The 24,344-nt window shown below is 45.3% G+C and overlaps 1 protein-coding gene across 5 annotated transcripts in view, besides 1 other annotated feature; it reads right to left on the bottom strand.

The window, feature by feature from the left end:
• Positions 1–16,939, bottom strand: part of S100Z (S100 calcium binding protein Z) — a 102,940-nt gene extending 86,001 nt beyond the window's left edge. For all 5 annotated transcript variants that reach the window (XM_011543241.3, NM_001437779.1, NM_130772.4 and 2 more), the window contains exon 1: positions 16,798–16,939. The gene's annotated coding sequence lies outside the window, so the exon portion shown is untranslated. The remainder of the gene's footprint in view (positions 1–16,797) is intronic.
• Positions 10,796–10,945: an enhancer, noted in NCBI's record as "active region_22698". NCBI's record gives its function as "activates an Ori minimal core promoter by ATAC-STARR-seq in GM12878 lymphoblastoid cells {active_cell/tissue: GM12878}" and the evidence as "EXISTENCE:reporter gene assay evidence [ECO:0000049][PMID:35858748]".
• Positions 16,940–24,344: the final 7,405 nt, after the last annotated feature.

The raw sequence follows: 24,344 nt of genomic DNA, 5'->3' as shown, positions 1-24,344 counted from the left end.
ATGCAAAAAAAATTTCAGGAAAATGGTAAGTGAAACTAACAAAGTAGAAATTATACATATGCTGTAATGGATAAATGTTGTGTACCTAAAGAGGGAAAATGAAATAGTCCTGTGTTACTTAATGACAGAAATATATTCTGAGAAATGCGTCATTAGGTGATTTTGTCATTGTGTGAACATCATAGGGTATACTTACACACACGTAGATGGTACAGCCCACTACACACCTAGGCCATATGGCATAGCCTATTGCTCCTAGGCTATAAACCTGTACAGCATATAACTGTGCTGAATACTGCAGGCAACTGTAATGCAATAGTATTTGTGTAGGTAAATATAGAAAAGGTACAGTAAAAATATGTATAAAAGATAAAAAAAATAGTACACCTTTATAGGACACTTACCATGAGTGGAGGCTGCAGGACTGGAAGTTGCTCTGTGTGAGTTGGTAAGTAAATGGTGAGTGAATGTGAAGGCCTAGGACCTAGGACACTACTATACACTGCTATAGCCTTCATAAACATTGTACAGTTAGGCTGCACTAAATTTATTTTATAATACTTTTCATGGCCAGGTGTGGTGGCTCATATCTGTAATCCTAGCACTTGGGGAGGCTGAGGCAGGCAGATCATTTGAGCCCAGAATTTCGAGACCATTGTGGGCAACATAGTGAAACCCTGTCTCTGCTAAAAATACAAAAATTAGCCGGGCATGGTGGCGCATGCCTGTAGTCCCAGCTACTTGGGAGGCTGAGGTGGGGGGACCACTTGAGGCTGGGAGGTGGAGGTTGCAGTGAGCCAAGATCACTACACTGCACTCCAGCCTGGGTGACAGAGCAACACCCTGTCTCAAAAACAAGCAAACAAACAAAAATTTTTCTTTCTTCAAAATAAGTTAACCTTACCTTACTGTAACTTTTTTTTTTTCTTTTTTTCTTTGAGATGGAGTCTCACTCTGTCGCCCAGGCTGGAGTGCAGTGGTGTGATCTCAGCTCACTGCAACCTCTGCTTCCCGGGTTCAAGTGATTCTCCTGCCTCAGCCTCCTGAGTAGCTGGGATTACAGGCACCCGCCACCACACCTGGCTAATTTTTTTTTATTTTTAGTAGAGACGGGGTTTCACCATGTTGGCCAGGCTGGTCTCGAACTACTGACCTCAAGTGATCCACCCACCTCAACCGCCCAAAGTGCTGGGATTACAGGCATGAGCCACTGCGCCCAGCCAACATTCTAGCTTTATAAGCTTTTAAATTTTTTAAACTTTTTGACACTTTTGTAATAACACTTCACTTGAAACTCACACTGTACAGCTGTACAATTTTTTCTTTATATTTTTATTCTATAAGTTTTTTCTATTTTTAATTTTTTTTTTAACTTTGTAAACTTTTTCATTAAAAACTAGGACATGGGCCGGGTACAGTGGCTCACGCCTGTAATCCCAGCACTTTGGGAGGCCGAGGCAGGTGGATCACCTGAGGTCAAGAGTTTGAGACCAGCCTGACCAACATGGTGAAATCCTGTCTCTACTAAAAATACAAAAAAAATAGCCAGGCCTGGTGGTGTGCACCTGTAATCCCAGCTACTCGGGAGGCTAAGGCAGGAGAATCACTTGAAGCCGGGAGGCGGAGGTTGCAGTGAGCCAAGATCGCACCACTGCACTCCAGCCTGGGTAACAAGAGTGAAACTCCATCTCAAAAAAAAAAAAAAAAAAAAAGAGCTAGGACACAAACACACACATTAGCCTAGGCCTACACAGGGTCAGAATCATCATTGCTGTGTTCCGTCTCTACATCTCATCCCACTGGAAGGTCTCAGGGACAATAACACCTGTGGAGCTGGCATCTGTGATAACAACGCCTTCTGAAGGGCCTGCCCAAGGCTGCTTTACAGTTAGCTTTTTTTATGAATTGAGGGAGTACACGCTAAACTAACAGTTAAAAGTATAGTAGGCCGGGCGTGGTGGCTCATGCCTGGAATCCCAGCACTTTGGGAGGCTGAGGCGGGCTGATCATGAGGTCAGGAGTTTGAAACCAGCCTGGCCAATATGGTGAAATGCCATCTCTACTAAAAATACAACAATTAGCCAGGCATGGTGATGTGCGACTGTAGTCTCAGCTACTAGGGAGGCTGAGGCAGAAGAATCACTTGAACCCGGGAGGCAGAGGTTGCAGCGAGCCGAGATCGTGCCACTGCACTCCAACCTGGGTGACAGGCGAGATTCCCTTTCAAGAAGAAAAAAGTATAATAAATGAGGCCAGGCCAGTGGCTCACGCCTATAATCCCAGCACTCTGGGAGGCTGAGGCGGGTGGCTCGCTTGAGCTCAGGAGTTTGAGACCAGCCTAGGCAACATGGCAAAACCCTGTCTCTACTAAAAATACAAAAATTAGTTGGATGTGGTGTCATGCGCCTGTGGTTCCACCTGCCTCTGGGAGGCTGAGGTGTTAGGATTGCTTGAGCCCAGGAGGCAGAGGTTACAGTTAGCCGAGATTGTGCCACTGCACTCCAGCCTGGGTGACCGAGTGAGACTCCATCTCAAAAAAAAAAAAAAAAAAAAAAAAAAAAAAAAATATAGTATGCATTAAGCAGTAACATAGCTGTTTATTATCAGGTATCATGTAGTGTAATTGTATGTTCTATACTTTTATACAACTGGAAACACAGCAGGTTTGTTTACACCAGTATCGCCCCAGACATGTAAGTATTGTGTTGTGTTATGACAGTGTGATGGTGTGACTTCACTAAGCAAGAAGAATTTTTCAGTTCTATTATAATCTTATGGGACCATTGTCATATATGTGGTTGGTCCATCATTGAGCAAAATGTCATTATGGGCACATGACTGTAGTTTTATTCATTGTTTAATAGAATTACGGAGGATTTAGAAATTCTTTAATGCTGCTGACAAATTGCATTTTCAGTTAAAACATTAATTGTAATAATACAGTATTTAAAATTGTAACCTATCTCCATATTAAGCACTGTCTTTTAAGGTATAATGTTGAATAAAGATTTAGCATATAAAATTCTAGATTTAAGTTTCCAGTTTATAAGGCTTCTTTCACATACTTAGGGCAACCATTTGCCCTGTGCTGGAGCCTTCAAGAGATAATATAATTGGCCGGGCGCAGTGGCTCACACCTGTAATCCCAGTACTTTGGGAGGCCAAGGTGGGTGGATCACAAGGTCAGGAGATCGAGACCATCCTGGCTAACACGGTGAAACCCCGTCTCTACTAAAAATACAAAAAATTAGCTGGGTGTGGTGGCGGGTGCCTGTAGTCCCAGCTACTTGGGAGGCTGAGGCAGGAGAATGGCGTGAACCCGGGAGGCGGAGCTTGCAGTGAGCCGAGATCGCGCCACTGCACTCCAGCCTGGGCAACAGAGTGAGACTCTGCCTCAAAAAATAAATAAAATAAAATAAAACAAAATAAGAGATAATATAATTGAGGACACATGCTCAAAATATTACTAAAAATGCATTACAGGTTATTATTAAGTGCTAACCAACCGTAAGTTATGTGATATAAATGGGCCTCCTTTTTCACAAGCGTAAAATGACAACCTTGGGCTAAATGACCTTGAAGTTCCCTTTCCTTTAAACAATTTTTTGATTCTAAAGTGTGTTAAGGACCACTGTGTGAGTGAGTGCTTGTGTGTGTGCACACTGGTGTGCATGTTTTACCTCCTCCAGCAAAACAATTCAGACAATGAAGTAGAGGTCAAAGGTCCCTGGAGGAAGTTCAAGGAGAGCCTTGACTATACTCTTTTCCTCCTGGCCCCTACCGTCCAGAAAAACAGGTTTAGATAATTCACCCCACATTTCTGCCAGGAAAGTCAGATGTCTCTCTACTCCAGGAACTACAGAAAGTGTTCTCTCTTCTTTAAATGGTGTTGCCTATTGTTACCAGATAGAAGGTCTTGACTGTGAGTTGTCCAGGTTCATGGTGTGTTGAACAAAGAATTGAACAAAACACAGAAACAAAGCAAAAAAGAAGCAACGAAAGACAAAACAACAAAAGAACAGAGTAAGGAAGTCACAGATTTCTTAAGAGAAGGTACAATTCACAGAGCAGGAGTGAACTTGAGCAAGCAGCTCAAGAGCCCCTTTATTGCAATGCTCCTCAGGGTTTTTGTTGTTGTTGTTTCGCGATGGGGTCACAAGTCTCACTCTGTCGCCCAGGCTGGAGTGGAGTGGCTTGATCTCGGCTCACTGCAACCTCCGACTCCCAGGTTCAAGCCATACTCATGCCTCAGCCTCCAGAGTAGCTGGGACTACAGGAATGCGCCACCGTGCCCAGCTAATTTTTTTTATATTTATAGTAGAGACATGGTTTCACCATGTTGGCCAGGCTGGTCTCGAACTCCTGGCCTCAGGTTATCCACCTGCCTCGGCCTCCCAAAGTGCTGGGATTACAGGCGTGAGCCACCGCACCTGGTGGCTCCTCAGGGTCTTATAAAGCCAAGAGAATTCTGTAACACTCCTAGGTGCTCTTCAGAGGCCTCCAATTGGCTACACCCTATGAAGGATTGGCCTGTGACCAATCAGCGGCTGAAGTGGAGACTTCCATCTTGTTATCACAGGAGTGAGGATGTGGCCTGTATGCTGCCCAATCTTGCCTAGAACTGGCTATACCTTCTGTTCCCTTGCTTATGCGATCTGGCTGCCCCTGCTATTCCTTGCTTATGCCCCAACCCTTCATTACCCTAATTCCCTATTCTCCTTCTTCAGCTGGGTACATGGGAGTTCATTAGGCTACTCTACTTTTCTATATATTTGAAATTCTACCTAATAAAGTTTACACACACACACACACACACACACACGCACACTCCTTATCCCTGCCAGCATGAGAAAAAAAGGTAACAAAACTGGAATTATTTCACCAGAAGAAGAGAAGTAATTTCATGGCATTGAATACATGGAGAATTAATGACAGAGGAGAAATACGAAACTTCTTTGTGTCACTGCTGCAGTCAGATGAAGGTGAATAACTTAAACAATGTTAAAGGAAAAAAAAATCCCTAACCATGAAGGCTGTTAAACATTGAAATAAGATACTGGAGAAGACAGCTAAGAAGATTCTTTCTCTGAAAATAGGGAGTGAAAATGCGTTATTTATACTGATGACTAAGAAGTATAACATGAATGCTTATTTATTTCCCAAATTTATTCTTGAGCCAAATGAAGTAGATGAATCTTGATCTGAACCTCAGCCAGTCACATTGGCCAAGCCTAAAATAAACACATAGAATGTGTTCCCAGTGGGAAACTGTGAGTGACTTCTGAGACGGGGGTATAAAAGACATCCTGGCTTTGGCCGGGCACAGTGGCTCACGCCTGTAATCCCAGCACTTTGGGAGGCTGAGGTGGGTAGATCACCTGAGGTCAGGAGTTCGAGACCAGCCTGGCCAACATGGCGAAACCCCGTCTCTACTAAAAATACAAAAATTAGCTAGGCATGGTGGCAGGTGCCTGTAATCCCAGCTACTTGGGAGACTGAGGCAGGGGAATCACTTGAACCCGGGGGCAGAGGTTGCAGTGAGCTGAGTTCACGCCACCTCACTCCAGCCTGGGCGAAAGAGCAAGACTCCATCTCAAAAAAAAAAAAAATCCTGGCTTTTGCCTCGCTTCCTCTTGAATCACTCACTCTGGAGGCAATCAGCTGCCACATTGTAAGGATATCCAAGAAGTCCTACGGAGAGATCTACAGGACAAAGGACTGAGGCCTCTTGCTGGCAACCAGTACCAACTGACCAGGCACGCAATGAACCACCTTAGGAGTGGATCCTCAGCCAGGGTCAAGCCTTCAGCTGACTGCAACACAACCTTGTGAGAATCAAAAGCCAGAGCCATAACCAAACAACTCCTGAATTCTTGTCCCACAGCTGTATGAAACAATAAATGTTTGTTGCTGTTTTATGCTAAATTTAGGGATAAATTGTTACGGAACAATAGATCCTAATATAGCTTGTTATTTAAAAGTTTGGAATCCTTTTTACATGACTCTTCAGAAAAATAGTGCAATGTAAATAGATACGTTTCTTCTATTAGAATGTTCCAGAAATTAATATGTAATGAAATCATGCGTGGCCTCTCAAAAAGCACACATGTCATGCTCTTACAGGAGAAGGCGCTGTTTCCTATTTTGTATAGCACCTTTTATTACAATCAAGGAAATGAAAATTTATGGGAAGTAACAATGAGTTTTCTGCAAATGACCTCCTTGAATATCTTAACAGAATTAATAATAGGCTTTTAACTTATCACAGTTTAAACAAAAATCATTGTTTCTGATTCCGAAGCATCACCTCACATCACAAAGCATTACCCTGTCCCTCCTCAGCATCAGCTGAGCAATGTCTGCTTGGAGCATATCTGATTATTTCCATAATTCACTAAAAATAATTAGGGCTTACTTGTCATGAGTCTGTTTCTGTGATTTGCAACATAGAACTCCAAAAGCCTCCCATCAGCCCCTCTTGAGCAGCTGAGAGGGTCGGGCCATCTCAGAGTCTCCAGGAGAAAAGTTGCTCCTCACTCTATCTATAGCTCCCTTCATAAATGGCAACTCTAAAAGTTTTCTGTCTTTGAAATTTGATCTGTGATGCAAGCCCATATTTTCCCTCTGTTTTCTGCCACAGATGAGGTGAAAGTTGCTGGAGTCGATGTAGCATCTATACTGGCTACAGTGGCAATGGCTGCAGAGTCAAGCAGAGCCTCGGTGCTTGGTGGCCACAATGGGAGCGGTCTTCTCATCTGGCCAATTCTGTTCTGTGGTTTTGGACATCATTCCTGGAAGATTCACCTGAAGCTCTCAAAAGAGTTCTGTGAGCCACCCAGAGTTCTTTCTCTGCCTCAGCATCTAGAGTCAACTTTTATTGCCGGCAATTAAGAGCCCTGTCTGATATACCTCATTCAAGACTGATTTCTGCCAAGCTGGTTGAATCTCCAGAGTGCCCTGCCCTTGATCCAGAAAACCAGCAGATTCTCCACAAAGAATTAGCCTTAAAAGACTGGATTTGCCAGTTTTGGGTTAGGTTACAAACCCAATTTACTCAAAGTCCCAGAGTTGCAGAGGCTAATTGTGGTTGCATCATTCTAGACAGATGGTTTCCCTGGAGTTGGGAGTTCGCCTCCCTGTGATGAAGGCTTCTCATTTTCTTATTTCTTTTTTTTTTTTTTTTTGGCTCTGTTGCCCTGGCTGTAGTGCAGTGGCGCAATCTTGGCCCACTACAACCTCCACTTCCGGGTTCAAGCGATTCTTCTGCCTCAGCCTTCCAAGTAGCTGGGATTACAGGCGCCCGCCACCACGCCCAGCTAATTTTTTGTATTTTGAGTAGAGATGGGGTTTCATCATGTTGGCCAGGCTGGTCTCAAACTCCTGACCTCAGGTGATCTGCCCACCTCAGCCTCCCAAAGTGCTGGGATTACAGACGTGAGCCACTGCCCCCGGCCGAGGCTTCTCACTTTAAACAGAGCTGGATGCGGTCCTGAGGGTAAAGATCCTGCATTATTTGCTTTTCTTGGGAGCTTTAATACTACCTGTCTCCAAAAGACCTCGATTCTAGAAAGAGCATTCTCTTGTTTTCAATGTGCTAACTCCTTCTTTTCTCAGCAGTTCAGACATAGTTGTGTGGTGGTGAAAGCAGCTCCGAATCCTAATCTTAGTCAACACTGGGTTCCAAAGTTCCTGTAATAAGGATATATTCCTCCTATCTTGATTTCACTCCTAATTATATGAGCATCATATGTTCTAATATTTACATCTCTCCAGCCAATGCAAACTCTCTGGCTATAATTTAATAATCTTTCAGATTATCATCATCATTATTATTATTTTGAGACACTGTCTCGCTCTTTCACCCAGGCTGGAGTGCAGTGGTGCTATCTCAGCTTACTGGAACCTCCGCCTACTGGGTTCAAGAGATTCTCATGCCTCAGCCTACTGAGTAGCTGGGATTACAGGCGTGCACTCTCATGCCTGGCTAATTTTTTTTGTATTTTTAGTAGAGACAACACTTCACCATGTTGGCCAAGCTGGTCTCAAACTCCTGACCTCAAATGATCTGCCTGCCTGGGCCTCCCAAAGTGCTGGGATTACAGGCCTGAGCCATCCAGCAGGGCCTCAGATTATTTTATAGTCTGTGTATCCACCAAGTTAAGATATTTCTCTTTGGAAGTTACAGTGTTTCTTTTGTATCATCTCTCTATAGGGATGTGAATTGAAAAACTCCCAATCTTAATCATTTATAAACATAATTTATCATTGTGAAATAAAAGTTTAGAAGCTAATTGTGAAGACTTTGTGTTTTAGACTGTGTAACAATTAGCCCCCACCCTACTTGTCATCGTCCAGGCAGGACAATGGATGATGGGCACGCTGGACTTAAGTTGGATCAGCCATTTCCCATCACCCCCTTTTTTTTTTTTTGAGACAGGGTCTCACTCTGCTGCCCCGGCTGGAATGTAGTGGCATGATCTCAGCTCACTGCAATCTCTGCCTCCCAGGTTCAAGCGATCCTCCTGTCTCAGCCTCTCTAGTATCTGGGACTATAGGCAAGTGCCACCACACTCAGCTAAATTTTGTATTTTTAATAGAGGCGGGGTTTCACCATGTTGGCCAGGCTGGTCTTAAACTCCTGACCTCAGGTGATCCACCTACCTTGGCCTCCCAAAGTGCTGGGATTACAGGTGTGAGCCACCGCACTTAGCCCATCATCTCATTCTTGACATGTTCCCTAAGCCAGTTGGTGCCATGACTGGACTGGCAAGAGAAGATGGCAGAAGCCTGAAATGAGTGTGGTGGAATCCCTTGCACTCTCACACACTTCTGGAACCTCATTTTGATAGCCTCAGGAGAGGGGCTCCCTGCCTTATACCTTATATCAAAAGATAACTGACAAAGCAAAACTGGTTCTGGCAGTCCCATCTTTTAGCAAGTACAGGCTTTATCACTTCTGTTTAAATAAAAACTTCCCAGAAGCCACTTTTTAAGTTAGCTAAGGAAAACGGTAGTTAATACCAAATAAGAAAGAAGTTCCTAGTAGCTCATGGAGTTACATTTTATTATAAACTTATTAATTACTTCTAAAAACTCTTGGGTAAGAAATTTCTTGTAGAAGACTGCAGCTTTGGTTATTAAAACAAGAATAGGGCTGGGTACGGTGGCTCATACCTGTAATCCCAGCACCTTGGGAGACCAAGGCAGGCAGATCACTAGAGGTCAGGAGTTCAAGATCAGCCTGGCCAACATGGCAAAACCCCGTCTCTCCTAAAAAAATACAAAAATTAGCTGGGGATAGTGGCACATGCCGGTAGTTCCAACTACTCAGGTGGCTGAGGCATGAGAATTGCTTGAACCGGGAGGTGGAGTTTGCAGTGAGCTAAGATCTCATCACTGCACCCCAGTCTGGGTGGCGGAGCAAGACTCCATCTCCAAAAAAAAAAAAAAAAAATGGGGGCAGGACGGGAGGTGGGGGCAAATCCTACCCAAGACAGTTCTGACAAAATGCCATCTCAGAGAGTATATATATGGAAGCACGGGTATCACTTGATATGTGCATCCTCATATTACTGGGCTGTATTTTATACTGTTCCCTATTCCTACCTTTCTAAAAGCCTCTATTCACTTGGTTTCTGTGACTTTTCTTTCTTCTTTTTTTTGAGATGGAGTCTTGCCTGTTGCCCAGGCTGGAGTGCAGTGGCGCAATCTCGGCTCACTGCAACCTCCACCTCCCAGGGTCAAGCGATTCTCCTGCCTCAGCCTCCCGACTAGCTGGGATTACAGGCACCTGCCACCACGCCTGGCTAATTTTTGTATTCTTAGTAGAGACGGGGTTTCACCATGTTGGCCGGGCTGGTCTTGAACTCCTGACCTTGTGTTCTGCCTGCCTTGGCCTCCCAAAGTGCTGGAAAGGCATGAGCCACCATGCCCAGCCTCTGTGACCTTTCACTATGCTGGATTTCCTCCAAGTTCTCTAATTCTTCTTCCTTCATGTTCTTTACTAAGCCACAGCCTTATCTTTTAAGAACTGCCCTTTGGATGTGAGCCTTCTCCAGAGCTCTACATAGTCAACCTAGGCAATTTCATCTACTGTGATGGTTTTACCTATAAATTAAATTATTTCAATTTTCAACTCTACTTCCCCAATCCTAACCCAAGGCCCCTGAGAGTCGTATCAGTACAATTTTATTTCCACTCACCTGGAACATAGACTTAAAACTTCTTGCAACATGCCAGTGTTTTTCATAGCCAGCTATTGCCTATCTTGCTTTTATACTTAAACTCTTCCGAAAAAATTAAATTGTTTGTGGCTTCCGGTTCTCTTTCTTTGGACTTGAATTTGTTATGGCTATACTAGTTACAATACTTTTGTCAGCAAGCGTATTAGTCTGTTCTTACACCACTGTAAAGAAATACCTGAGACTCGGTAATTTGTAAGAAAAGAAGGTTAGGCCGGGTTTGGTGGCTCATGCCTTTAATCCCAGCACTTTGGGAGGCTGAGGCAGGTGGATCGCCTGAGGTCAGGAGTTTGAGACCAGCCTGGCCAACATGGCAAAACCCCATCTCTACTAAAAATACAAACATTGGCCAGGTGTGGTGCCATGCACCTGTAGTCCCAGCTACTCAAGAAGCTGACGCAGGAGAATCGCTTGAATTTGGAGGTAGGGGGTGCAGAGGTTTCAGTGAGCCAATATCATGCCACTGCACTCCAGCCTGGGTGAAAGAGCAAGACTCCATCTCAAAAACAAAAAAGTAAAGAAGGTTAATTGGCTCACAGTTTCACAGGCTGTACAGGAAGCAAGCAGCTTCTGCTTCTCAGAAGGCCTCAGGAAATGCTCAGTCATGGCAGAAGGCAAAGGGGAAACAGACACATCTTATGTGGCCGGAGGAGGAGGAAGGAGGAGGAAGAAAGAGAGGGGAGAGGTGCCACATACTTTTGAACAACCAGATCTCATGCTAGCTCATTCACTCACTTTCATGAGAACAGCACCTTGGGGATGATGTTAACCCATTCATGAGAACTCCACCCCCATGATCCAATCACCTTCCACCAGGCCCCACCTCCAATGGTGGGGATTACAATTCAACATGAGATTTGATGGGGACACAGATCCAAACCATATCATTCTGGCTACTCCAAATCTCATGTCCTTCTCACACTGCAAAATACAATCATCCCTTCTCAACAGTCCCCCAAAGTCTTAACTCATTCCAGCATTAACTCAAAAGTCCAAAGTCCAAAGTCCAAAATCTCATCTGAGACAAGGCAACTCCCTTCTACAAATAAGCCTGTAAAATCAAAACAAGTTAGTTACTTCCAAGATACAACTGGGGGTATAGATATTAGGTAAATACTCCTGTTCCAAAAGGGAGAAATCAGCCCCCAAAAAGAGGCCAGAGGCCCCACACAAGTCTGAAACCCAGCAGGGCAGTCATTAAATATTTTAAAGCTCCAAAATAATCTCTTTTGACTTCATGTCTCACATGAAGTCTCAGGGCACACTGCTGCAAGGGGTGGACTCCGAAGGCCTTGGGCAGCTTGGCCTCTGAAGCTTTGCAGGGTACAGCATCTGTTTTCACAGGCTGGCATCTGTTTTCACGGGCTGGCATTGAGTGCCTGCAGCTTTTCCAAGCACAAGGTACAAGCTGTCCTTGTATTTACCATTCTGGGGTCTGGAGGACAATGGCCCTCTTCTCATAGCTCTACTAGGCAATGCCCCAACGGGGACTCTGTGTGGGGGCTACAACCCCACATTTCCCCTCCACACTGCCTTTGCAGACGTTCTCTATGAAGGCTCCATTCCTGGGGCAGTCTTCTGCCTGGACACACAGGCTTTGCCATACATCCTTTCAAATCTGTGCAGAGGCTTCCAAGCCTCAACTTTTGCATTCTGTGCACTCACAGGCTTAACACCATGTGGAAACCACCAAGGCTTACAGCTTGCAACCTTTGAAGTGGCAGGAACTTTGAGCCATGGCTGGAACTGGAGCTGGAACTGGAATGGCTGAGATGCAAGAAGCAGTGTCCCAAGCCTGCTTACACAGGGTAGGTGATGGGGCCCTGGGGCCTGGCCCATGAAACCATTCTTCCCTCCTAGGCCTTTGGGCCTGTGATTGGAGGGGCTGCCTGGAAGATATCTGAAATACCTTTGAGGCCTTTTCCCATTGTCTTGGCTATCAGCATTTGCCTTCCTTTCAGTTATGCAAATTTCTGCAGCCTGCCTGAATCCTTCCCCTGAAAAAGGGCTTTTCTTTTTTAACACATGGCTAGGCTGCAAATTTTCCAAACTTTTACACTCTGTGTCCCTTTTAAATATAAGTTCCAGTTTCTGGTCATTTCTTTGCTCCTGTAACGGGCATAGGCTGTTAGAAGCAGCCAGTCCATATCTTGAATGCTTTGCTGCTTAGAAATTTCTTCTGTCAGATACCCTAAATCATCACTCTCAAGTTCAAAGCTCCACAGATCTCTAGGGCAGGGGTACAATGCCTCCAACTTCTTTGATAAATGCACAACAAAAGTGACCTTTGCTCCAGTTCCCAATAAGTTCCTCATCTCCGCCTGGCCTTCCCTGTCCATATTACTATCAGCATTTTGGTCACTACCATTCAACAAGTCTCTAGGAAGTTCCAAACTTTCCCTCATCTTTCTGTTGTCCTCTGAGCCCTCCAGACTCTTCCAACCTGTGCCCGTTACCCAGTTCCAAAGTCGCTTTCACATTTTTGGGTCTCTTTACAGCAATGCCCCACTCCTTGGTACTATTTTTCTGTATTAGTCCATTCTCATACTACTATAAAGAAATACTTGAGACTAGGTAATTTACAAAGAAAAGAGGTTTAATGGGCTCACAGTTCCACAGGCCGTACAGGAAGCATAGCAGCATCTGCTTGGCTTCTGGGGAGGCCTCAGGAAACTTTCGATCATGGCAGAAGGCAAAGGGGAAGCAGGCACATCTTACATGGCCAGAGCAGGAGGAAGAAAGAAAGATCTTTCAAACAACCAGATCTCACGCTACCTCACTTACTCACTATCATGAGAACAGCACCAAGGGGATGGTGCTAACCCATTCATGAGAACTACACCTCCATAATCCAGTCACCTCCCACCAAGCCCCACTCCAACCCTGGGGATTACAATTTCTTTTTTTTTTTTTTTAAGATGGAGTCTTGCACTGTCACCCAGGCTGGAGTGCAGTGGCACTATCTCAGCTGACTGCAATCTCTGCCTCCTGGGTTCAAGCAATTATCCTGCCTCAGCCTCCCCAGTAGCTGGGACTACAGGTGTGCACCATCACACCTGGCTAATTTTTTGTGTTTTTACTAGAGACAAGGTTTCACCTTGTTGGCCAGGCTGATCTTGAACTCCTGACCTCAGATGATCTGCCTGCCTCAGCCTCCCAAAGTGCTGGGATTACAGATGGGAGCCAACACATCCGGCCTGGGGATTACAATTTGACATGAGATTTGGTGGGGATACAGATCCAAACCATATTAGCAAGTAATAGAATAAGCAAATAAAAGTAGTTCAAGCTTAATAAGGTAATTTGCTATCTCTTACTATAAAAGTTGGTTGTTTCAGTGTTTTGTCAATGCTATCAAGGGCCCAAGATCTATCTTTCTTCTTCCCTATCTTCTGTGTGCCAGCTCTCATCTCTGACTTGTCCCCGCACAGTCACAAGATGACTGCTGCAATTCCAGGCATCACATCCTCAGACCATCTATGGAGGATTATTTGGAGGGAGTCCAGGCATTTCTCTAGATTTTTCTAAAGTTTCTGAAATTAATATAGCCAGATCAGTAGAAAATTAGGTGTCTGAACTGTATCACATTGGCCCCTCCTAGAATTGTTTAAGCAGCTGTGCTTCAAGGGAAATGCTGCTTGAAGCTGCTAGAATCATCAGCCTTAGACTTGAATCGACTCTGGGATGAATGTTGTTTGAACTTTTCATTCCCTCTCTATGAAGACTCTCAGGGGAAAAATGTTGCTCTGGTTCTTGTGTTGAGAAGAGTCCTGACTTGCCTAAGCAGTCATCCCATGGATACTATGAATAGCCCAGCTGATAAGATAGGATAAGACAGATAATGTATCCTCTTTTTCTTTGGCTGCTAGAAAGCCTAGAATCAAGTTCATGAGCCACCTAGGCCGAATACTTGATTTTACCACATGCTGCAAACTCAAATACCTACAGCCGGGTCATGTTCAAACTTTGCTGTTTTTTGTTTGTTTGTTTGTTTTTTGAGACAGAGTCTCACTCTGTCACCCAGGCTGGAGTGCAGTGCAGTAGCGGGATCTCAGCTCACTGCAACCTCCGCCTCCTGGGTTTAAGCAATTCTTGTGCCTTAGCCTCCTGAGTAGCTGGGATTACAGGTGTGCACCACCATTCCTGGCTATTTTTTTGTATTTTAGTAGAGATGGGTTTTCACCATGTTGGCCAGGCTATTCTCAAACTTTGGCCTCAAGCAATCCACCCACCTCAGCTTCCCAAAGTACTGGGGTTACAGGTGTGAGCCATTACACCCAGCCCAAACTATTTAACAACAGATACAACAGAGGCACTAAGCAGAATGAAAAGCAGTTGTGAACAGGGAGCATCAGCCTGCTTCCACGGCCAGGCTGCTAGTGTAAACAGGCAAAATTGAGACTAAGAAAAAAAAAATATCTTGACTAATTTTTTTTATTACATTTGATAGAAGGGTGAGTTCAGAGAAATAGTCCATGCTGATAAGAGGACCGACACTGCTTCAGTGCCAGACAGCCAAGTGGAGTGGAGGCCAGTGGGAAATTGGAGAGCCCGTGCTCTCCCAAGAAGGCGAGACTGCTTCTCAGACCCAGATCATCGTTGCCAGATGGGATATGGCTCAGAGCTCCCAGAACTTCACTTTTTTTTTTTTTAAAAGAAAAAGTGAGAAATTTTAATTTTTAAGAATTCCTGGATTTTAAGACTGCAACTCAAGACAAACAAACAAAACCCACCAAAACCCAACAGACAAACATAAGACTGCAGGACAACTCAAACAGGAAATTCAGCGAATGCTGGCCAGCTTGTGACTTCTGCTTTCTGCTGTGTACTTTATATTTAACCTCATTCCTTCCTCTACTTTACATCTCGTTCTTTTCTGTCTGCTTTCTCTCCTACTTAATTTATAATATCTTACTCTACTTTGTGTTATCTTCATATGTCACCTTAAATCCTACCTAGGACCCAGGAGAGTATAAATAAACTGACCACAGGACATCTCCACTTAGGTAACACATCAGAGTCTCAGATTCCAAACCACAGCAAACTGATTTTGGCATTTTCCAATCCCCTGCTCCCTTCTTCCTCTACCCCAGAGGGGATCCCCTTTTTTTGCTGCTCCAGTCAACAGCAATACCCTCATTCACCCAACTGCATGGCCAGAAACCTGAGTATGATGCTATTCCTGGCCCCTCTCTCTCTCTCATGCAATCAGTTGCCAGGTTGTATCTCCTCACTCTCTGTTCCTTCCTCCTCAACCCTAGCGCCATAGTTCAGGCCCTTGTCACTTCTGGCCTGAATTACTGCATGAGATCCCAACTCACCTCCTGCACCTACTTTGCTCTTCTTCAAAATTAGCCTCCCCTGCCTGCTGGGAGGCACACCTGAGCTCCTCACTTAACCTCCTGGACAGGCCCTGCCATCCCCTGGCTAAATCTAAACTCCCCGCAGTGTGCCCACCCATCCCCTCTGCACCATCTGTGCCGCACACGTGGCACTGCCACTGTGCTGCCCATTCCTCTGCTCAGGTGCCAGTCCTCCAGGGAAGCCTCCGATGCCCCTCAGCTCCTGGGAGCACTCCGCCTCTGGGTGCCCCTGTATCACCTCATGCTTTCCTCTAGACCTGCACCGGCACTGGGTTGAAGGAAAATAATAGTAGCCAACGTTAATTAGCACATACTCTGGGCCAAGCACCCTTCTAGGCAGTTTAAATGTATTCCTTTATGTCATCCTCAAAAATCCCATGAGGAGGCTGGGGAGCGGTGGCTCATGCCTGTAATCGCAGCACTTTGGGAAGCCAAGTGGGAGGTGGAGGTTGCAGTGAGCTGAGATCACACCACTGCACTCCAGCCTGGGTGACAGAGTGAAACTCCATCTCAGAAAAAAACAAAAAACAAAAAAAACTTTATTTCTCTGTCTAACCCAAATTTTGTGTCCTCTCACCAACTTCTCCCCAGCCCCTCCATCCCTCTTCCCTCTCTTCTTCTGTAGGCTGAGAGCAGCCATTCCAGGGCTGATTGTCCAGGCATGCCCAGCACTGGCCAGTGTGAAGAGGAGGAGCATAGACCACTGCTGTGACTTCCTGGGAGTGGGCTTACACTGGCATCTGTGCAGGCTTCAGGAAAAAGAAGCGAAATCACGGCGTGGATCTAAGGGGCCAAGCCTCACCTTGAAGGTTCTTCTGGGTCTTTGGCCTGGACAAGAACATGAAACTTGAATTTCTCAAGGTGAGGTGAAGGCCAAGCAGGAAGCCAGGATGGTCACCAGGAAAGGAGCCAGAATGAACTAAGTGTTCTTTAGGGCAAGGAACTTACCAGAACCTCTACGCTCCGAGCTATGATCAGGCTGCTCTCTCCCTCTCTCTCTCTCTCTCTCTCTCCCCCACCCCCCCGACCCCTTTGTGGCCAAGGTAAGGCCACATTTTAGAGTGGAAGCCCCAAGGCAACCCCCCACCTCACAACCTCCACTCTTGTTGCCCTCTCTAATCCAACGCCTGCCAGGCTCACACTTCAACCACTAGACTGAAAAGCAAGAATCTTCCACAAAAATAATCTTTTACCTTAGACCTGCTTCCTGTGCAGATGAGATAAGGAGAATGCTCTTGTCTGAATTTCTGGGCGTGGAGATTAGCAAGCCGTTTTCCTCCCAGCAGCTAGAGCGAGCAAGAGGCCCTGCTGTGAGTAGTGCTGTTCTGAGTCTGCGTGGTCCAGACTCACCACACTGCAGGCACGTTTCTTCATCAGGTGGGAAAGCAGGAAGAGGTTTAATTTAGGACCTAAAGCTGGTATATTGCTGAGTAAAAGAAATGGGAAGGCACCAAGTCTCTAACGAAATTGCGCTGGGTGCAGTGGCTCATGCCTCTAATCCCAGCACTTTGAGAGGCTGAGGTGGGTGGATCACTTGCGGTCAGGAGTTTGAGACCAGCCTGGTCAACGTGGCGAAACCCCATCTCTACTAAAAATATAAAAATTAGCCAGGCATGGTGGCGGGCGCCTGTAATTCCAGCTACTCGTGAGGCTGAAGCAGGAGAACGCTTGAACCTGAGAGGCAGAGGTTGTAGTGAGCTGAGCTCGCCGCTGCCCTCCAGACTAGGTGACAGAGCCAGATTCCGTCTCAAAAAAACAAAAAAAAAAGAAAAAGAAACTGCTTGTGATCCAACACTCCCCCACTGGTGCCTCCTCATGGTGAAGAGCAATTACTCTGGCACCAGAGTCTTGGGGTTCAAATCCTTACTTCACCAGTATGTGACTGGAAAAGCTACCTAACCTGCCTGCTGAAGCTTCATGGCTAATAATTCCTCACAGCATTTCTTTTTTTCTTTTTTTTTTTTGAGACAGAGTCTTGCTCTGTCACCCAGGCTGGAGTGCAGTGGCATCATCTCAGCTCACTGCAACCTCCACCTCCCTGGTTCAAGCTTCTGCCTCAGCCTCCCAAGTAGCTGAGATTACAAGCGCCCACCACTAAGCCTGGCTAATTTTTGTATTTTCAGTAGAGATGGGGTTTCACCATGTTGGTGAGGCTGGTCTTGAATTCCTGACCTCAAGTGATCCGCCCACCTTGGCCTCCCAATGTGCTGGGATTATAGGCGTGAGACACTGCGCCTGGCCCAGGAGGAATAAGTTTAAGAGCTCCCATTGTACAGCATGCTATCTATAGTTAATAACAATATATCGTGTATCGAAAATTGCTAAGACAGTAGATGTTAAGTGTCTTTATCACCCCCAAAAAATGACAAGTATATGGGGCAATTAAGTCAAATAGCTTGACTTAATAATTCCACAATGTATACATAAATTAAAACATCAAGCTGTATTTGTATACCATAATATATACAATTTTTACTTGTCAATTAAATAAATAAATACACAGAAAAGGGCAGAGACAGGTCAAGAAGCACAGCACTCAGTACAGAAATACAGATAACAATATATTGAAAGAAAGAATTCAAAGATAAATTTTTTTTTTTTTTTTTTGGAGACAGAGTCTTGCTCCATTGCCTAGGGTAGAGTACAGAGACACAATCACAGCTCTCTGCAACCTCAACCTCCCAGGCTCAAGTGATCCTCCCACTTCAGCCTCCCAAATAGCTAGGACTGCAGGGTATGCCACCACAACCTGGCTAATACTTGTATTTTTTTGTAGAGATGGGGTTTCACCATGTTGCTTGCCCAGTCTAGTCTTGAACTCCTGGGCTCAAGTGATCCTCCCAGCCTGGCTTCCCAGAGTGCTGGGATTACAGGCACCAGCCACCGCACCCGGCCAAAGATATGTTCTGAAGATTGAAACGTCTCTCTTTCCAAAATAACTACTCTTGGCCAGGTATGGTGGTGTGCGCCTGTAATCCCAGCTACTCGGGAGGCTGAGGCAGGAGAATTGTTTGAATCCGGGAGGCAGAGGTTGCAGTGAGCCAAGATTGTTCCACTGCACTCCAGCCTGGGCAAGAGTGAGACTCCGTCTCAAAAAACAAACAAAACCCAAAAACCTCTTGACTGGGTGCTGTGCCTCAAGCCTGTAATCCCAGCACTTTGGGAGGCAGAGGTGGGAGGATCACTTGAGCCCAAGAGTTCAACACAGCCTGGGCAACATAGGGAGACACCATCTCTACAAATTTTTTTTTAAAAATTAGCTGGGCATGGTGGTGCACACCTGTGGTTCCAGCTACTCAGGAGGCTGGGGTTGAGAGTATCACTTCAGCCCAGGAGTTTGAGGCTGCAGTGAGCTGTGATTGCAACCACTACTCTCCAGCCTAGGTGACAGAGCCAGACCCTGTCTCTATAAAAGCATTAATTAATTAATTAATTAATTACTAGTCTTTCCCACCTGAAAGTGAAAACTAAGAAGGTCCAAACTGTAGGATTATAGAATGACGGATGTCTGGGGAGATCAGAACAAATCTGCGGAAGAAAACACATGTAATCTGTCTGCATTGCCAGTTTTGGGTGGTGATTCCTGTCCAAGTGTAGCTCCCAAGCACAAGACTGTGGTCTAGGGTCCTGTTCTTCCCTATCTTTAGGAGAACATTAAGATCACCATGAGGCAGGCACCACATAAGAGGGCACAGTGATAAGAATTTTAGCATTCCTCGTTGTTCCTGCTAAGTGCTTGTGAACAGTTGTATAACCAGAGTTCTCGATCGGCAGAGCCTTTTCATTTCCTCTAATATGCTTTCACACTTTCCAGTTCTGGATGCAATCAGCAAAATCCAGACTATGGGGAAAATCTACAAACAACCTGGTTTCTTCAACAAGTAAGTAGCAAGTGGTGAGGGTGGAGATAAATTAAGAGATTTAAAAGTCATCAACCAATTGCAATGTCTGAGCTTTATTTAGATTCTGATTTTTTAAAAAAAGAAACCACTTATGATAATTGAGATGAGTAGAAATTTGAACACTGACAGGATATCTGATATTAAGAAATTTTTTGAGGTATGATTTTTAAATTTCTTGTCTTAGACACTGAAACATTTACGAGTGAAATAATATGATTCCTGAGATTTGCTTCAGAATAAACGGGATGGGGAGGAGGATGGGGCAGAATTGACCAAAGGTTGATGGATATTGGGCCTGAGTGATGGAGACATAGAGTTTCCCTATACAATCCTAATTCTGTATGGGTATAAAATCCTCCATAATAAAGTTTTTAGGGCTGGGCGCAGTGGCTCACACCTGTAATCCCAGCACTTTGGGAGGCCGAGGTGGGCGGATCACTTGAGGTCAGGAATTCTAGAGCAGCCTGGCCAACATGGTGAAACCCAGTCTTTACCAAAAATACAAAAATTAGCCAGGCGTGGTGGTGGGCGCCTGTAATCCCAGCTACTTGGGAGGATAAGGCAGGAGAATCGCTTGAACCCAGGAGGCCGAGGTTGCAGTGAGCCAAGATGGCACCACTGCACTCCAGCCTGGGAGACAGAGCAAGATTCTCTCTCAGAAAAATACATAAATAAATAAAATAAAATAAACAAACAAACATAAAGTTTTTAGGCTGGGCACCGTGGCCTATGCCTCTAATGCCAGCACTTTGGGAGAGCGAGGTAGGTGGATCACTTGAGGTCAGGAGTTCAAGACCAGCCTGGCCAACATGGTGAAACCCCGTCTCTACTAAAAATACAAAAATTAGCCAGGTGTGGTAGCGGAAACCTGTAATCCCAGCTACTAGGGAAGCTGAGGCAGGAGAATTACTTGAACTCAGGAGGCAGAGGCTGCAGTGAACCAAGATCATACCACTGCACTCCAGCCTGGGCAACAGAGCGAGATTCTGTCTCAAAAAAAAAAACACAGTTTTTAAAAAGATTAAAAAAAAAGAATTTCAGTTTTAATGGACAGAAATGGTCACTAGAATAAACACCATCATTTCCCTCCCTGTGCTGCAATTTTTTAAGCCATAAATTCTGATAAATCTGTTATATTTTTAACAAAGTCTCCCATTTACACAAATCTCTGGTTAAAGAAAAAAGTCTGACTTCCACTGGTAAGAACTAGACACAGTTCCCCTGCAAGAGCCCAGGTGGCCTCTGAAAGAGTTCACAACATAAGGCTTGGCTAAAACTGCTTTCTCGGGATTAGGTAATTGAGTCTACCCGATGGTACATAGAAGCTATAATTAAACGCTTTCCATGGGTTTGCCATTCACCCCAGGCTACATGGTGGAGCTGAGGTGAGGAACTCAGACCTGAGCCAGATCCAGCAGTGTTGAGAGTTAATCCCTCATATGCAGGTGAGCTGGCTAGGGCCCAGAGCTGGGACTCCAGGCTCCTGCTGTAGTGGCTGCTGCCATGCCCTCATGTTCTCCAAAAAAGAATGATAGAAAACTCATCAGAGCAAAGGATGTTCCACACGGCACAGAAGTTTTCTGCAGCCCACCTAGAAGAATAGCTTAGGTTTCCTCTCAGAGCTAATACAAAGAGAAATGGGACCAACTTCCCGCAAGGCCGTACCTTTTGAGGGTCACTGCCTTGGTGGTGAGGAATAGCAGGGGGAAAATATGCCTAAAATACAAAGTAAATTGCCGAGACCAGCTCAGTCAAGGAGACCCTAACCCAGTGGCACTAGAGGAATTAAAGACACACACACAGAAATATAGAGGTGTGAAGTGGGAAATCAGGGGTCTCACAGCCTTCAGAGCTGAGAGCCCCGAACAGAGATTTACCCACGTATTTATTAACAGCAAGCCAGTCATTAACATTGTTTCTATAGATATTCGATTAACTAAAAGTATCCCTTATGGGAAATGGGATTAACTAAAAGTATCCCTTATGGGACACGAAGGGATGGGCTGAAATAAAGGGGTGGGTCTGGCTAGTTATCTGCAGCAGGAGCATGTCCTTAAGGCACTGATCGCTCAGGCTATTGTTTGTGGTTTAAGAACGCCTTTAAGCAGTTTTCCGCCCTGGGAGGGCCAGGTGTTCCTTGCACTCATTCCAGTAAACTCACAACCTTCCATCGTGGGCGTTATGGCCAGCATGAACATGTCACAGTGCTGCAGAGATTTTGTTTATGGCCAGTTTTGGAGCCAGTTTATGGCCAGATTTTGGGGGACCTGTTCCCAACAGTAAATAAAGGAAGAAAGCAAAGCTCTATTTCTTCCTAGATGCTTATGGTCCTGCATTATCATTACACTCAAAATTTGTGAAGTTCAGACTGGCAAATAAAAGACCATGAAAATGTGGTGTTTACAACACTCTAGATAAACAGACACACATTTTTGGCAAGTGTGTAACTGGTGCAACACCTTAGGAGGGCAACTTACCACAATCAAAATTACATGTATCCTTTGACCCAGAAGTTCCACTTCTTATTTTTTTATTTTTATTTTTGGACAGAGTCTCTCTCTGTTGCCCAGGCTGGAGTGCAGTGGTGCAATCACAGCTCACTACAGCCTTTAACTCCTGGGCTCAAGCGATCGTCCTGCCTCAGCCTCCCAAGTAGCTGAGACAATATGTTTACAGCACCTCCCCTGGCTACTTTTGTTGTTGTTATTGTGCGATAGGGTCTTGCCACATTGCCCAGGCTGGCCTTGAACTCCTGGGCTCAAGAGATCCTTCCACCTTCACTTATAGAAATACAATACATGCAAAGACACACTGTCTCCCTCTCTGCTGAATGACTCTCATTGCCTTTCTTGCCTCCGCATTCCCCTGCTCCCTTTCACAATTAAAATTGCTGTAAGGGATTGTCACTGTCATTGTGTGGACTTCCTTCCTTCTAATTCTTTCTTGAACACACTATTCTGGCTTCCTTTCCCCATCACATCACTGAGAGGGTGGTCTTGCCAAGGTCACCAACATTCTCCAAGGGCAAGCTCAGGTAGTCACTCCTCTGTTCATATCTCACTTGGCTTCTTAGTAATTTTCACCATGATTGATTACTCTGTCCTTTATGCCCTTGGCTTTCCTGACAGCATATTTGCTGGACTTTCTTCTTGCCATAGTGGCTGGTCCTTCTCAGTGTCTCTTACTGGCCCTTCCTCTGCTCAAAAGAGTCTACATGCTGAAGGCCTCTGTCCAGGGCCCTCTTTTCTTCATCTATATTCTCTCCACTAGGTGTCAGAGACATTTGAACCAGAGCAACCCTTGAATAGGAGCTGGGTAAAATAAGGCTGAACACTACTGGGCTGCATTCCCAGACAGGCACTCTAAGTCACAAGATGAGGTAGGAGGTCAGCACAAGATACAGGTCATGGCCTGGTGTGGTGGCTCACACCTGTAATCCCAGCACTCTGGGAGGCCGAGGCGGGTGGATCACCTGAGGTCAGGAGTTCGAGACCAGCCTGACCAACATGGCAAAACCCCGTCTCTACTAAAAATACAAAAAAATTGCCGGGTGTGGTGATGCATGCCTGTAATTCCAGCTACTCAGGAGGCTGAGGCAGGAGAATGGCTTGAACCAGGAGGTGGAGGTTGCAGTGAGCCGAAATCATGCCACTGCACTCCAGCCTGGGCAAAAAGAACGAAACTCCATCTCAAAAAAAAAAAAAAAAGATACAGGTCATAAAGACCTTACTGATAAAACAGTTTGCAGTGAAGAAGCCGGCTAAAACCCACCAAAACCGGATGGCCACGAGAGTGACCTCTGGTTATCCTCACCGCTACACACCCACGAGCACCATGACAGTTTACAAATGCCATGGCAACATCAGGAAGTTACCCTATATGGTCTAAAATGGGGAGGCATGAACAATCCACCCCTTGTTTAACATATCATCAAGAAATAACCATAAAAATGGGCAACCACCAGCTATGGGGGCTGCTGTCTGCAGAGTAGCCATTCTTTTATTCCTTCACTTTCCTAATCAACTTGCTTTCACTTTATCGACTCGCCCTGAGTTCTTTCTTGAGTGAGATCCAAGAAAACTCTCTTGGGATCTGGATCTGGACCCCTTTCTAGTAACATAGGTAACCTCACCAAGTTCTTTTTTTTTTTTTTTCTCGCGCTGTTGCCCAGGCTGGAGTGCAGTGGCACGATCTCAGCTCACTGAAACCTCTGCCTCCTGGGTTCAAGCAATCCTCCCACCTCAGCCTCCTGAGTAACACTGGGACCACAAGCGCATGCCACCACACTGGGCTAATTATTTTTATCTTTTGTAGAGATAGGGTTTTGCCACGTAGCCCAGGCTGATCTCAAACTCTTGAGCTCACATGATCCTCCCACCTCAGCCTCCCAAAGTGCTAGGATTACAGGTGTAAGCCACCGCACCCAACCTCCTACTCAACAATGCTGCTTGGATGTCTAACAGGCATCTCAATCTCAAGATGCCATGGTCAAAACAGAACTCTTAACTTTCAACCTCCAAACATGCTCACTCCTAATTATTTCACCATTATCCATCAAGCAGAAACTCTAGGCACAAGCTTTGATTCCTCTTCTTTTCACATCTGTTGACTTTAGGCTTCTTCTCTCCCTCTCTGTTAGCACCACCCTAATTCAAGCCAACATCACCTCTTGCTTGGATTACTCCAAATTGTTCTTGCTTTCTCATCTTGTCCTTCTATAATCCCTATTCCACATAATAGCCAGTGATTTTTTTCTTTTTTTGAGAGGGAGTCTCGCTCTGTCACCCAGGCTGGAGTGCAGTGGCATGATCTCAGCTTACTGCAACCTCCGCCTCCCG

This window comes from Homo sapiens, chromosome 5 (assembly GCF_000001405.40).
Source record: "Homo sapiens chromosome 5, GRCh38.p14 Primary Assembly".
Lineage (NCBI taxonomy): Eukaryota > Metazoa > Chordata > Mammalia > Primates > Hominidae > Homo > Homo sapiens.
Note: the sequence above shows the minus strand (reverse complement) of the source record. Positions and strands in the feature narration are given on the sequence as shown.